At 39.4% G+C, this 12175-nt stretch overlaps 1 protein-coding gene across 6 annotated transcripts in view, besides 1 other annotated feature; it reads left to right on the top strand.

Annotated features, from left to right (window-relative positions):
• The window catches only part of DCT (dopachrome tautomerase), a 112596-nt gene that overhangs the window by 52712 nt on the left and 47709 nt on the right, over window positions 1-12175 (top strand). For 2 of the 6 annotated variants that reach the window (NM_001322183.2, NM_001322184.2), the window contains exon 2: window positions 7265-7318. The exons of the other annotated variants lie outside the window; for them this stretch is intronic. The gene's annotated coding sequence lies outside the window, so the exon portion shown is untranslated. The remainder of the gene's footprint in view (window positions 1-7264; window positions 7319-12175) is intronic. 6 annotated transcript variants of the gene reach the window in all.
• Window positions 4077-5276: an enhancer, noted in NCBI's record as "CDK7 strongly-dependent group 2 enhancer chr13:95143673-95144872 (GRCh37/hg19 assembly coordinates)". NCBI's record gives its function as "activates an origin of replication core promoter dependent on BRD2, BRD4, P300/CBP, MED14 and CDK7 cofactors, with strong dependence on CDK7, by STARR-seq in HCT116 cells {active_cell/tissue: HCT116}" and the evidence as "EXISTENCE:reporter gene assay evidence [ECO:0000049][PMID:35650434]".

Below are 12175 nucleotides of genomic sequence, written 5' to 3'. Positions count from 1 at the left end.
AAAGGGATGCTCAACCTATTAAATGCAAACTGTACCACACATAAATATCTTCCTTCACGTCTCATTTTTCTGTGCCTTAGCATATCCAAATTATGTCCCTTACCACCAGCCCATACCTGAAGATCAACAAGGTCTGTACATGCCACTGTGAGTTCTTTGAGATGAGTGAAAATGTTAATAATGTTAATAATGACAGAATCCGGCCGGGTGCGGTGGCTCATGCCTGTAATCCTAGCATTTTGGGAAGTCGAGGTGGGTAGATCACTTGAGGCCAGGAGTTGGAGACCAGCCTGGCCAACATGGTGAAATCCTGTCTTTACTAAAAATACAAAAATTAGCCGGGTGTGGTGGTGTGTGGCTGTAATCCCAGCTATTTAGGAGGCTGAGGCAGGAGAATCCCTTCAACCCAGGAGGCAGAGGTTGCAGTGAGCCAAGATCATGGCACTGTACTCCAGCCCAGTGACAGTGAGACTCCATCTTAAAATAAAAATAAAAATAAATAATGCCAGGATCCATTCCAAAAACAAGTATAGACTACAGCTCTTAATCTCTGAGTTGATTAAGCTGGATCACACTTTATAAGGTTCAGAATGAGGTCAGAAGAAAGGGCTGGGTAACATCAGCATGTTGTTGACAATAAGTGAATACTGATGGCACAATGAATAGGGCAGAGAAAGGCAGAGAAGAGTCAATTGGCAACGATCAGAGGCGCGTTGTTCCTTTCTGGGAAGAGCCTGCTCTATAGACTTCTATGCAACAGACTTACCATGCAGCTTCACTAGCCCTGCAGAGCCATCCCTTCATGAATTCTAAGGGGGTGCCATATCAAATTATTTATAACCAGATTTAAAAGAAAACCCTCACAGTTGAAATATGAAGTTATTGTGTTCAACTTCTTATTACTCCAAAAAGCTTATACAGTTGAACCATGTCTCTCTCTCCCTTTGAGATAGTACATCCTTCACAATTGTGGAATGATTAATACAGTTGGAGAGAGGGTAAAAATTAATATTTTAATAGAAATATTGTAATATTAGTGTCATGACATCTTCCAAAAAGGTAGCATGTTATATTCTTCTTTTCTCTTTGAATTTTTGCATCTTACATTTTGACAAGTGCTCCTACATTCACTAAAATTTAAACTTTGATGATACATGGAATACATTTTTTATTTGAAGTTTTGGCTTAAAGATGAAATTATGTCTTGGGCGCTCTGCTTTTGGGAGTAGAAGTGGGTACATTCTTTCTGGAGGGCAATTTGGGAACATATAACAAAAGCATTAAAAATAAGCATGTAAGGCCGGTTGTGGTGGCTCACACCTGTAATCCCAGCCCTTGGAGAGGCCGAGCTGAGTGGATTACTTGAGCTCAGGAGTTCGAAACCAGCCCAGGCATCATGGTGAAACCCTGTCTCCACAAAATATACAAAAATTAGCCAGGTGTGGTGGCACATGCCTGTATTCCCAACTACTCAGGAGGCTGAGCTGGGAGGATGGCTTGAGCCTGGCAGGCAGAGGTTGTAGTGAGCCAAGATTGCACCACTGCACTCAAGCTTGAGTGACAGAGCCAGACCCTGTTTTAAAAAAAAAGAAAATATAAATAAGCATGTAGTTGAACAGTCTGCTTCTTGGAATTTAACTCATGGAAAATATCATAGAGGAGGGCAAAGATTAATTGACGAGGATGTTTGTTGCAGAATTATTAATACAAGTGACAAGCTGTAAATAATGCTAAATATTCAAAAACAGGGAAATTAAATCAATTATGACATCATAATTATCTACTATACAATGAGTATTCTATAACCCTTCAAAATCATATGAAAAAATATGCATAACATATTGTTAAATGGAAAAAATAATGCAGAATGTAATATCATAATTTTGTTTCAATTATGTATATGCACAGAATAAAGATTAAATGTATAAATATCAACATGTAAGCTGTGGTTATCTCTGAGTGAAGGAGTAGTGATTAATTACTTTCTGCTTCTGTTTCTTTAACACTTTAAAAACTTTCTATAATGCAGTGAATCATTCCTTCATTATATTATAGAAAGTTTTCAGAGTAAATGATAACTTAGTGCTAGGGAAGACCTGCAGGAGGCTAGCGAGTAAAGGGTTAAACAAAATTCCACACATTTACTTCCTAATTTTGCTGTTGCAAGGAGAATGGGTATACAGCAGGAATGAGACAAAACTGAGTGAAGGAAGAGGAGATCAGCAAATAATACCAATTAGGCGTTCCCTGCCTGGGAAATCCCTGAAGATAGAGGAGAAACTAGTCTCAGAGAACCCCTAGTGAAATCAGTGAGGCTGATTACACCTAAAATAGACTTAAGGAGCACAAACAAAATGATGAAAGGATGCAGATTGGGGAATAGTGACAAAGCAATCAAAATGCCCCTCTAAGGAAACTGTTTCCTGGGCTCTGGCTAGGAGCCAGGATCGGGGAGGCCAAGCACAGAAGGCAGATGTTAAAAGCTGTGAGGCCTGCAGGGCCAGGTGGCAATGTATGGGGACGAGGAGCACTAGCTGTGAGATCCTGGGGAGCCATGAGTGGGCTTAATGCAGGATTTCTGGAGCTTCTTGTCTTTTGGGATGAGCTTGAGATCCAGACTTTTAGGTGGAATCTCCTAATTTTATAGCTTTTGGCATCTCTAAACATTTAAAAAAATTAATAGCCTTTATTCTTTAGAGCAGTTTTAGCTTTACAAAAATTGAGCCGAAAGTAGAAAGAGTTCCCATACAGCCTCTTACTGCCCCACTGTTTCCACTGTTGATACAATCATTAACTTGGGCCCATAGTTTACATGAGGGTTCACTCTTTGTGTTGTGCACCCTGTGGGATTTGACAAATGTATAATGACATGCATTCACTGTTACAGTATCACACAGAATAGTTTCACTGCCCTAAAAACCCGCTGCATTCCACTTATTCATCTTTTCCTCCCTCCCTACAAGCCTCTGGCAACCACTGATCTTTTTACAGTCTCCACAGTTTTGATGTTCCCAGGATATTGTGTAGTTGGAATCATATCGTATGTAGCCCTTTCAGACTTAGCAATATACATTTTATTCTGTCCATGTCATTTTGTGCATGTCACCATAACTTGACTGAGGTATAACTGATGTATAATATACTGCACATATTTCAAGCCTACCATTGGATGACTTTTCACCTAAGAATTCACCAGTGAAACCATCATCACACTCAAGGTAATGAATGTTTATCTGTCATAGTCCTCATATGCCTTGGGAATTCCTTTCTCACAGCCATACCTACCACTCTGTCCTCTGGCCGACACTCATCTGCTTTCTGTCACTTAAGATTAGTTTGCATTTTCTAGAATTTTATATAAATGATTATATGTACTATTTTTGTCAGGTTTTTTTTCACTCAGCATAAGTCGTGGGGGGCAGGCATTTCCCTTGGATCCTGTAGAAGTCTAAATTTCGAGAAGCTGGCAAGTCTTAGGATGATGGCTAATAATGTGGAATTAGAGATGTGCCCTAATATCAAAAACCATCTTATAGAGTATATTAGATCTGAAAATAGCCCACAGAGTTCTTTTCTTCGGGGTCATGTTGCAAAAGAGTCTCTCTTGTCTTGAGCACAGATGTGAAGCATTTTTCACCATTGGATACAATGAACGTTCCAAGCACAATGGATGCCTTGGGTGCTGCCATTCTCTATGACTGCCATGTTTTGATTGAGCAAAGATTTCAGACTTCCTTCCTCTGTACTTTGACAACTGCAAATTTGGAAAAAGCATTTTCAATATGTACGTCGATCAGGGGTCAATATAGACTATGAAAATATATATACTATAATTCCAATTAGGTTTTAAAAAGCTATTGAAGGAATGAATATTTTCATCTGGAATGATAAACACCCAAAGATTAATTAGAATAATTTCTTGATGGTGAGAACATGAGTGATTTACATTTTCTTTTCTGTACATCTTTGTGTTCTTCAGTTTTTCTAAAATCAATGTTTCTTATAAATAATGTGAAAAAAATTATATTAAACCTCAAATTTGGGGGTTTGATTTGGAAGACATTAGCAAGTAATTTGGAATAAGTTCCCATCCCCAACTAACTTGGATCCTGTAGTCCAAGTAATAGTCATGGTCTATCATTCAGTTACTTGTGCTAGGCACTGTGTTAGATATTAGGTATAAATATTAACAGAAGGCAGGGAGTGAAGCCCCCAGGCATAGCCAGTCATGTTGCCCTGGAACACAAAGAGGTGTCCAATCTCCTGCAGGAAGAGGAGCTGCTGCCATTCTGGGAACCTCAAGCTTAGTTCAGAGGAAACATCTATGAGGAGAAGACCCAACCACCTTCAACTTAGAAGAAGCAAAAGAGTTCTGTGGACCCCTCTGTAGAGAGGGAGGGGCATGTGATTCAAGAGGCCACCTGGATATTTCAGTTGAAGTTTATCTTTAAGGCTCGCTGCTTCTCTGCTGTCATTTATAAGTTCATTCAATAAATACTGAGCACTTTCTATGTATCTGCCTTTAACTGTTGAGTTGGGAGAACGATGAGCTAAGAGTGAGTTTTACAAATGCGATGCTTGAGACAAAGGTGAGGGGAGAAAAACGTGTCCATAACAGGTAAGAGAGATCTCATGTTTTACTCACCCCTGGTTGTCCAGTGAGAGAAAAGAGCACTGCACTATGAATCAGGATGCTGAGGCTCCATGGTCATGAATGAGTTATTCTAAACTCTGAGTGGGCTTTGATTTTCTCACTTGAGAGTATTGGTCTAAATGATCTTTAACTTCTCATCCAGATCTAAAATTTATGAGGTAATATGGTTCACAGAGACCATGCATAGGACTAACTGCAGAATTCTGAGAGGAGATCCAGTACTGATTGACAAATGCTAACCTTTGCAGAAGTAGACTCCCCTACACCCAATTTGGCACTTCCGTGAGATTAAGCAGAATTCTTCATGTCACCAGAAAGCAGCTAAGTCTTATGATGGTGACCCACTTCTCTTCAGTTTCTCTTCCATACAGCATGACCCATACCAACTCTCCTTCTAATCCCAAAAGTTTGAGGATGTGTTCAGGATGACTTGGTTGTAAAAAGAGAATGAGTATTTGAGTTTTGATGCCCAGTTTCACCGTTTATTATCTGTTATCTGTTGAATTGTGTCCTTCTCAAATTTATATGCTGAAGCCCAAACCCTGAGTAACCCAGAATGTGACCTTATTTAGGAGTCAGGTCATTGCAGGTAATAATTAATTAAGATGAGGTCATACTGGAGTAGGATGGGCCCCTAATCTAATATATTGTTGTCTTCATAAAAGGGGAAATTCAGGCCCAGAGCCTTGAACACAAGAAGAACATCATATTAAGATTGGAGTTCTATATTACAAGCCAAGAAACTACCAGAAGCTGAAAGACAGGCCTGGAAAAGATCCGCCCCTATCACTTCAAAGGGAGCATGGCTCTGCTGACACCTTGATCTTAGACTTTTAGCCCCAGGACCGTGAGATGATAAATTTTTATTGTTTGAGGCACTCAGTTTGTGGAAGCTTTACTCTGAACTCTTTACTCTCTATGGTTCCCAGTCCCTAAAAGCGCCCTGACTTTTCTTGTTCACTGACATCTTTGTATTCTTTCCGGTCTTCGGTGAGGACTAAATGTTTCCACAAGAAGGTTGCTCACCCCTCCATTATTACATACTCTTCTGCTGAGCTCCAACCTGGCCTTTGAATCATTGGTGCTCAAGGTGAAATCCATTTCATGGCATAAATAAATAGGTAACTTTCCTGAATTCAATAGATCTTGTGATTACAAAAATATTACATATTATAAACTCATAATTGAAGGTAAACTGAAACCTCTATGAAATTATCTTGTTTTCTACTACTTTTCAGTGTGTCTTCCTTCTTATACTAGAATACTTTTTAGAAATGAAAAATTCATTACAACAAAATTTACATTTACTAGGCAGCTGTCTGCTATGATTTGTAAGTACATATATCTTTTCTATTATGAAAGTTTGGAGGTTTTTTTAGCTTTGTGTATGTGTGTGTGTGCATGCACACGTGGTCCATGAAAAGTAACTGAATGAGTGCAGGTGAGATTCAATGAGAAGAACCATTTTTAAAGCAAATGTCAGACAGACACAGACACCATGGTTAGTTGTTTTTTTTTTTTTTTTTTTTTTTTTTTGAGACCGAGTCTTGCTCTGTCGCCCAGACTAGAGTGCAGTGGCACAATCTCGGCTCACTGCAACCTCTACCTGCCAGATTTAAGCAGTTCTCCTGCCTCAGCCTCATGAGTAGCTGGGACTATGGGCATGCACCACCATGCCCAGCTAATTTTTGTATTTTTAGTAGAGACAGGATTATACAATATTGGTCAGTCTGGTCTAGAACTCCTGACCTCAGGTGATCCACTCACCTCAGCCTCCCAAAGTGCTGGGATTACAGGCATGAGCCACTGCGCCCAGCTTTGGTTAGTTGGTTTTTGACAGCAATGATAAAGTAATGAACTTGGTGTAAAACCACCAGATTCAGGTCAAGAAATTTTTGAAAAAGATTTTTCCTTATTTTTAATGATAGCATTTATTTTTGTCAGCTCTTGAAATTAGTAAGAGGGCTCCTATCTGGTTTATTCATTCTCTGTGGCTTCTTTAAACCTTGCCTCCACCTATATTTGTCATAATTAGTGAGATTCCTAAGTTCCAAGGCTAACAGAATAGCATAGCTGTAAACATAGCGTATCATCATTTGACTAAGCAGAATCTAAGAAGAAAACAACTTCATTTCTGGGTAGTAATATTGCATTATGGACAAGAATATCTTCTATGTGTGAGTTATAAATACTTATTTAGTTTCCAGAAAAAAATTATTAGAAGTACTTATAATTAGATGCTTAGACATGTGTATATGTGTGTGTGTGTGTGTGTGTGTATTAATCATTCCTAGAATCAAAATTTTCTCAGTGGAGAGGATTTTTCAGTACTCTGGCAAGATCTTTCACCCCTTCCTGGCTGTCCATTGAAATAGAGGTCATATGGGCTACTGATTATGAAGGTAGTAATTTTTCAAACAAGTAATAATATAATGGGTCAGACCAGTGGTTTGCCAGTGTAGAAATTTGAGGCATTGTTTAATGGAAGTAATAAAAATGTGCTAAGTACCTACTGTGTGCCAGATTCTGCTAGGCAATTTATATCCAATGCCATATCTAATCCTTAAAATTATGCTTTATTAAGTAGATATCTTCATCTTGGGTTTACAGATGAGGAATCTGAGGCTGAGAGAGAATAACCACTTGTCCAGGGTCATAGAACTGGTAAGTTTCTTGCCTCTCCATATAAACCTCTACTGTTTGTCCTTATTCACAAAGTAACTTGCTGGGATTTTGACTGGGTTATACTCTTTTTAATACTTCCAGGAAACTCCTCCTTTATGTAATGTCATCCTCACAAGTCCTCATCATTCCAAATTTTTTTAACTTGAATTTTTTTATTAACGAAATTTTTAAACTAAGTACTATACATGCATGGTTCAAAATTCAAAATGTACAAAAATATAGAATGAAAATAATTGTTCTTTCTGCTCCTGTTCCTCACCCCATTAGGCCCATTCCCACAGACAGCACTCAACCAGTTTCTTGTGTTTATTCTACACATTGACACACACAGATGGGCAGATAGACACAGACAAGTCACAGACACAGACATACTCCCTGCCCCCACTCCCTCACATGTACATGTTAGCATAAACATAGTGAGTTCATAGCTATATACCTTATGTTTTTCTCTTGACTATATATATATGTGTGTTTGTGTGTGTATGTGTGTGTATGTATGTGTACATATGTGTGTGTATATGTATGTATATATATGGTGTGTGTATGTATGTGTATATGTGTGTGTATATGTATGTATATATATGGCGTGTGTGTGTGTGTGTGTGTGTGTGTGTGTGTGTGTGTGTGTGTGTATATATTAGACAAGAAGGTCTGGCCGTATCACCCAGGCTGGAGTCCAGTGATGCGATCTCAGCTCATTGCAACCTCTGCCTCTTGGGCTCAAGCTATTCTCCCATCTCAGCTTCCCTGAGTAGCTGAGACTACAGGCATGCACCACCACGCCTGGCTAATTTTTGTATTTTTTGTAGAAATAGGTTACGCCATGTTGCCGAGGCTGGTCTCAAACTCCTGAGCTCAAGTGATCCTCCTGCTTCAGCCTCCCAAAGTGCCGAGATTACAGGTGTGAGCCACCGTGCCTGGCAGACAACATATTTTGGAAATCCTTCTAGACCCTGAACAGTCTAAATTGTACATCTATAAACCCTGGTAGATCCATTAGTACTAAAGTTGTCTAAAAATATATATATTTTTTCAGCCCATACAACCTCTTACAAATGTATAGGTGGTATTTTCTGGATTTGATCAGAATTGAGCAGGAAGAGAGTGATTCCCTCCCATAGAACTGTATTTTGAAGAAGGAGTAGCTCTATTGCTTACCCAAATCAGTCATTAAATTATAAGGGTACACATAAAAATCCAAATTGAATACTCATGTACCAGAATGAAGCATAAAAAACAATGATAAAATAAGAATTAGAGGGCACAGTGTGCATAGCAAATAACTAAGATTAATATAAAGATAAATGATGCAAAATCTGAAATTAAAAAGTGTTTGGTGTATAAACACAGACTTAAGGATGAACTATAAAAAATGCATTCAAGATGAAAAAAATGCACTCAACTGAAATAACAGACCACACGTCCCATTTCTAACCCTTAATTCCTCTGAAGAACAATTCATACCACCAAGAAGAAAAAAGGCTCTTAGATGTAGAAAGCAAAACTCTTATCAGGACAGATGTCCAGCATTTAGGAAACAACTTGGTCACAGGGAAAAAAATAATCTCTTTTCCCCATGATGAGGCAGCAAAGAATAGATCAAAAACCATCAGACAGGGAAGGTGAGCAGGGGGCTAAAAAACGGGGAGGATTTTCACATTCAGAGGCACAGGAGTAAAGAGCAGGCAACTCGTTGGCAAGCAGGAGAAAGATGCATATGTTTTCTCTGTATTAATCTTAGCCATGGCTCTAACACATCTACCTTTCTCTTCAATTGCTTCCCAGGCTTTGAGCCATTTCTTCCTCCTTTGAACACATAGACTGGCACAGGAAGGCATAGGCTGGCATCCTAGCTCCAAAGCTATGCATGTCTGCCCTGCATCATCCACTTACAAATTCTCTAAGGTATCTAATTCAGTATGTCATGAACATACATTGAGTCCTTCTTATGTGCAAGTTGGTGCTAGGTGCCGGCATGCAAAATGAAAGTATGCAGAACATCCCTTTTCACTTAGTCTTGCCTCAGCTGTAAAAAGAGAGAGTAAAATGAATTGCTTTCTAATAAGGCACTTTTCTACTCTCAGACTATTAAGCTGTATGATACACAGCTGCCTCTCTTTACTGGCTTTCAGAACATTCCTTATAGTAGTCCTTGATTCGATGGCTTCCATTGGTAACCAATGGTCTCAATACACCCATGAGATATCCCCTCTTGGATTCTGCTATTCAGTTTCTAACAAAGACTTTCTCTTTTGCAAATAATGCAATGTTTAATTACAGTCATGCTTATGATTTGAGATCTTCTTAGCTTATGTCCTTAGGTCTGTATTCACTTATACCAAATTTTTAGGGATTCTTCTTGAACTCTTCTCTAAGCCCTGTTTTGTAAACAACAACTTGGCTGTGTGTTTGTTACCTTTGCACTTACACAGAAATGTGTGTGTGTGTGTTTGTCTTATTTCTCAAAGGATTTGAGACAAGCTAGGGAAATACATAAATTTGCAAAAGGATAAAATAAGAATCCCAGAACCCAGGAACATAAGGGAAGGAGAATATTAAAGTAGATACTGCGTGAATCAGTTGCTTGATGTGGGGGCTGCAAATTTGGCTCCAAGCTTCATAACTGGCCAAGGTAAAGAAAGAAACACCATCCTAAGATTCACATGGTCCAACAGTCCTGGATAAGCTGCTTTCTATGGGGAAGTACAGCTTTCCTGGATACTGAAGCCTGCAAGAAATCTCTCCCTGGATCCCCATAAAATGACATTGGGAAATGTGTTTGATGATATTAAAAATACCTTACAAGTTTCACAGGATGTTTTTCCAAATCATGCCCTAATGCAGGCTGATGGCTTAATACTAAAGGGTAATTTAGTTAATGCAAGGCTAGGAGGAGCCCAACCCTTATTCTCAACTTCAATCAATCTCCTCCATCAGAATGAGGATTTCTTAATTCTATTCTGACGTGCTTAGGGCTTCCATCTAGGGTAGCAATATTAAATCAATTCACTTAAATTAGAAATACTAAAATTTCAAGCAGCAGTTTCTTGGAATTTAAATGAGATAACAAAAGGTAAGGAAAGCAAGCTTAGCATAGTACCTGGCATGGAGTAGGAGATAAGAGATTGTAAGTTTCCATCAGTCCCTTTGTATGAGGCACTGTGCTGACTTCCCCAGAGAAAATGATGAGTTTGACAACTCGACATGGTGAAAAGACCACAACTTTGGAGTCAGGAAAACACAGCTCTGTCACAGAGCTTGTTACCCGAGGTCTGGCAGCCTCTGTTTTCTCTTCTGTAAAATGAGGATAATAACCAGTGAATAAATAACTAGAAACATTACATACTCACCCTTAGCTTAGTGCCTGGAGCATAGTAGGGACTTAATACATTAAGCTGCTTTCTTACTTTTAAAATCATGCAATCGAGCAACGCGTAGGAACTAAAAAAGACCACAAACCCAATGACATTGAGCACTTCACAACGTATAGATCACCTGCAGCCTTATCCTTCCAAATCCAAAGGAAATCTCTTTATCTTTTTGAAAATCAGTCACTCCCTAGCAATTCTCTTGGCTAAATAATCAATACTTTTAGCCCTTTCTCACCTATCAAGCATTAGTATTATTACTTCCTGTCCCATTTTGTTTTCTCTGCTCTCCTTCAAGATATGGGACTTCAAACTGGGTGTTTCCGTGAGAGAAAGAGTGACCTGCCTTTATTAGGAATGATTGTGAATTTGGGGAGGATACTATAGATGATGGTTCATTTACTCAACAGTTATTTTGAAAGTGCTTCCTATGTGCCAGACACTGTGTTTGTGCAAGGTTGATGGGATTGCAGCTTCGTTTAAGCCTTTTCCTTTAAGTATTTAAGGCTTTTCTTTTAAGACCAGGTGAGTACAGGAAAGCTCAGGGGCTCTGCCATTCTAGGAGAAAGGCAGTGAACTATACAGGTGCCTCCATTGTGGACAAGCAGACTGGTGGTTAATGGCCATGACATCCTTTGGAAACACTGATGATGCTCGGAGTCTCTAAGTTCTCTCACAGAGCCCTCCAAGGTTCTACCTGTGCTAAAGTCTCAAGGGCAGGGTCATGAATCCATTTGAGAAGCTAACAAAATCTATGAATCTTCTTAACAGAAAAAGACCCATGCTACATTTTCTTCACAATTTCAGGATGTTCAAAGATCCCCCTGAAGTTCCTCTTGTGGCCACCCCCCCACCGCCCCCCAGCAGAGTGCCAGAGTGAGACGCTTTTGTTTGAGTGACGTGTCTCAAGTCCTGCCATGGACCTTGACATTCGGTCATTTTCATCAATGAATTGGGTTACGAAGACAATAAAGACGGGTCAACCAAATGTGTAGTTAGGACAAAGGCAGGAATGAGAGAAATCCCATTGCTTATCACACCCATTTAATATGACAACATTGGACAGAGGCAAAATAAACCCTTTCATTTACACCCTGTTAGGAGCTGAACTGCATCCTCCCCAAAATTCCTACATTCAATTCCCAACTTGCAGCACCCAAGAATATAACTGTATTTGGCAATAGGGCCTTTACAGAGGAGATTAAGTTAAAAATGAAGTCGTCAGGATGGGCCTCAATCTGACCAGTGTTCGTATAAAAAAAGGAAATTTAGACACATGAGAAGGCACCAGAAGTGCATGTGCAGAGAGGAAAGACCATGGCATGGGGCAGCAATAGGGAAGCTCTCTGCAAGCCGAGGACAGAGGCCTTGACAGACGAATCCAACCCTGCCCATGCCTTGCTCATGAACTTTCAGCCTCTGGAACTGTGGGAAAGTACATTTCTGTTGTTTAAGCCATCTACTCTAT

The sequence above is a fragment of the Homo sapiens genome, chromosome 13 (genome assembly GCF_000001405.40).
Source record: "Homo sapiens chromosome 13, GRCh38.p14 Primary Assembly".
In the NCBI taxonomy this organism is placed as follows: domain Eukaryota; kingdom Metazoa; phylum Chordata; class Mammalia; order Primates; family Hominidae; genus Homo; species Homo sapiens.
Note: the sequence above shows the minus strand (reverse complement) of the source record. Positions and strands in the feature narration are given on the sequence as shown.